Source organism: Homo sapiens, chromosome 4 (genome assembly GCF_000001405.40).
Source record: "Homo sapiens chromosome 4, GRCh38.p14 Primary Assembly".
NCBI classification, from domain to species: domain Eukaryota; kingdom Metazoa; phylum Chordata; class Mammalia; order Primates; family Hominidae; genus Homo; species Homo sapiens.
Genome location: NC_000004.12, coordinates 118,508,393 through 118,511,862, shown reverse-complemented (window position 1 = coordinate 118,511,862; position 3,470 = coordinate 118,508,393). Strand labels below are relative to the sequence as shown.

At 34.8% G+C, this 3,470-nt stretch overlaps 1 long non-coding RNA gene across 1 annotated transcript; it reads left to right on the top strand.

Moving 5' to 3' along the window:
• The first annotated feature begins 350 nt into the window (after window positions 1-350).
• LOC124900767 (uncharacterized) lies at window positions 351-1,660 on the top strand. Its single transcript, XR_007058246.1, has 2 exons — window positions 351-620; window positions 1,432-1,660. It is a non-coding gene; the product is annotated as an uncharacterized LOC124900767 (long non-coding RNA).
• Window positions 1,661-3,470: the final 1,810 nt, after the last annotated feature.

Genomic DNA, 3,470 nt, shown 5'->3' with positions numbered 1-3,470 from the left:
TATATCTTATCTCCTTAGTGCTAACTGAAGCATCTAGAATGTAATGGCTACTTTACCCTTTTGTATTTTTCCAGTATTTCTCATACTGCCCCCTCCTCATATACATTCAATATGTTTAACAAAAACATTTTATTATTTAAGTGGATTTATCAGCTTATGTAAATAAGTTCATTTAAATATGATGACATAGAAATGAGATCATGAAAGCTAAGTGGTCTATTATTTTTTAAAAGAAGGATAGAACTTTGCTTTTCACAGATAATACTTAATAATTTTATAACAGATTCTTTGGTAAATTTATCTAGCCTTCTGTCTGGTTTCTTTGTTTCCTAAACACAGTTTATATGAACCAAATGACTCTGTTCCCTCAAAAGAATTTTTGGTAATACTATCAATAACTTCTAGATTCTAATATAAATAAATGATGTAGCTTTTCTAGTACACTGCTATGTAGCTTCCTCAAATACTTCTAATACTTACAAAATTCTTAAAACAGATTTTTGGGGTGCCACAAGCCTGAGACAAAACAAATTTCCATTTTCAACCAGAATGAAATTAAGAAAACAGATAAAAGCCACATACAAAATCTCATTGAGAGTCTTTTTGCTTTTTAACTATAAGTGAGTATTTATTTTTCAACTTGGATAAGTTTTTTAATTTTTTATTGTAAGTTGACAATTTATATTTGTATATGTTTATGGTGTATAAAATGTTGACCATAAATACAATGTGAAATAATTAAATCAAGCTACTTAGCATATTCATCACCTCAAAGAGTTAACACTTTTTGTGATGAGAACATCTAAAATGTACAATACTATATTATTAACTATATTCACCATGCTGTGCAGTAGACCTCAGGAAAAAAAAAAGCTTCTTCCACCTGTCTAACTGAGATTTTTGTACCTTTTGACCATCATCTCCTCATCCTCCTTTCAGGGTCTTATTGTTAATTAGAAAACTAATGAACAAAAAGTAATAATGAAATCCTTGAAGGTACACAACTTCATTTTGTTTAAAAAGCCTTTATATTTCTGTTCACAGAAATATAAAAGGTAATAAAAATCATACTACATAGATTTGTAAGATTATTAATTTCTTTTTCACTAAATGTACCACATGAAGTAGGCACTCAATAAATATCTGTTGTATTTATGAATGAAATCGTTTGGACCTGTCTTCAGCTTATTTTTAAATTTTAACTTATATATATAATATATATGTGCTTCATCTTTATATGTAATATATACACACACCTATATATGCTTCATCTAAAAATTATTTCCTTATCTTCAGTTAAGATTATACTTGAATAATAGCTGCATCATTAGTCAAAATCATATCTTAAGATATCAGCATATCAGAAAGAGTAGGAAGAATTTTCATTTAAAAGTAAAGACAAAATTTAAAAACCATTCTTATTTTCAACAGCAGAAATTTACAACTAAAATGAAAAGTGCCTCGGAATGAAATATTAAATCCAAGCTGGTGTCTGTCCACCTGTCCTTAGGAAGTCTCAACTTACGAAGTCCACTAAATTTCTCAAAAAAGAGTTTTATCACTTTGAATTTGTCCCCTGCTTAAAATCCCCCAAAATATACAATATCTAATAAAAATCAGCCTTTTACTTATAAAATAAATTCATTTATCAGCATGAGAATATGTGAATATGTTTATTTAGGTTTAACTTCTTACTATATAGATTTGGCTTGTTTTTTATAATAACAACTGATATATGATTCACAAAAAAGCAGAGAAGAGTAAGAGAAAGAGAGAGAAATGGAGAAAGAGAAGAAAAAAGGGATAAAGAATGAAAGAGAGAAAGAGAATACCATTCTCTAAAGGAAGAGGTGCAGAAAATTCCATTATCCTTTCTTCTTGATCATGCCTTGTATGATTGGCAGCCAAACTAGCCCACTGTGAAACCCAGCGTTTGCTTCCAGATGAAGATGTGCCTTCCTAAAGGAGAAAAATAAGAAAACAAAATCATGCAGCCTGGTCATATCTGAGTCTCATGAAAGACTATTTCATTTAGTCACATTAACTTGTCATACAAACCCATAATTAAACCTCACCTTGCTATATTATCATTGATTACATTTTCTCTTATATAAAATGAAAATTCTCTAGAAAATAAAGGTCTTCTCTGAAAAAAACTATGTTACTAAAAATGACACCTCTCAATGAAAATCCAAGACAAGCCAAGGCTTCATATGAAAACTGTAATGACAACTAGGGAGTGGAAAGCTACGACGGAAACTTTATTACCAACTAGTCACAACAAATATTTTATTAAGAGTGTCAGATTTGGGCCGGGTGTGATGGTTGATGCCTGTAATCCCAGTTCTTTGGGAGACCGAGGCAGGTGGATAACGAGGTCAGGAGATCGAGACCACCCTGGCCAACATGGTGAAACCCTGTCTCTACTAAAAATACAAAAATTAGCTGGGCATGGTGGCATATGACTGTAATCCCAGCTACTCGGGAGGCTGAGGCAGGAGAATTGCTCGAACCCAGGAGGTAGAGGTTGCAGTGAGCTGAGATCGTGCCACTGCACTCCAGTCTGGCAACAGAGCGAGACTTCGTCTCAAAAAGAAAAAAAAAAGTGCCAGATTTAATACATTAATAATGACAAGCTAAACACTGAAGAAGTGAAGACTTCAAATAGATAAATCACTATAAGATTTCAAGAATAGTAGGTAAGAATAGTAAGTATAGGCCAGGTGTGGTTGTTCACGCCTGTAATCCCAGCATTTTGGGAGACCAAGGCGGGTGGATCACCTGAGGTCAGGAGTTCGAGACCAGCCTGGCCAACATGGCGAAACCTCGTCTCTACTAAAAACACAAAAATTAGCCAGGCGTGGTGGCATGCACCTGTAGTCCCAGCTACTTGTGAGGCTGAGGCAGGGGAATCGTGTGAACCCGGGAGGCAGAGGTTGCAGTGAGCCGAGATGGCACCACTGCACTCCAGCCTGGGTGACAGAGGGAGACTCTGTCTCAAAAAAAAAAGAATAGCAAGTATAGAGAATGACACACATACAGTGAAGCCTCCTAAGGATACCAAAGCCTGCTGCATCCTTAATCCCATCCAAGGTTTTCTGTTACCTGCCCACATTTCTGAGTAGTGAAGGTGGTACCAGAGCCATGTGGACCATGCTAAGAATACCAACAGTATGAGTGTCACTGACACACGCGTATGTAAAACCATTCTGTGAAGAGTGTTCTAAATGTCCTGTTAGGTAATGTTAGGTAATTCCTACAAAGGAACCTACCAGGGCTATAGCTTTTGCTTGGCAGGGGTTGAAGGAATAGAGAAGAAAGAAGAGAGTCTGTTTAAATTCACATTTACCAAAATGAATTCCTGGGTTACTCAGAATGGCAACATATTGCCTCAAATAACTATCACCTGCTTTCAATAGGTAAATTAAGTATCTCATAAAACAGAAACCAGAATAAAAATTCTCCCAATC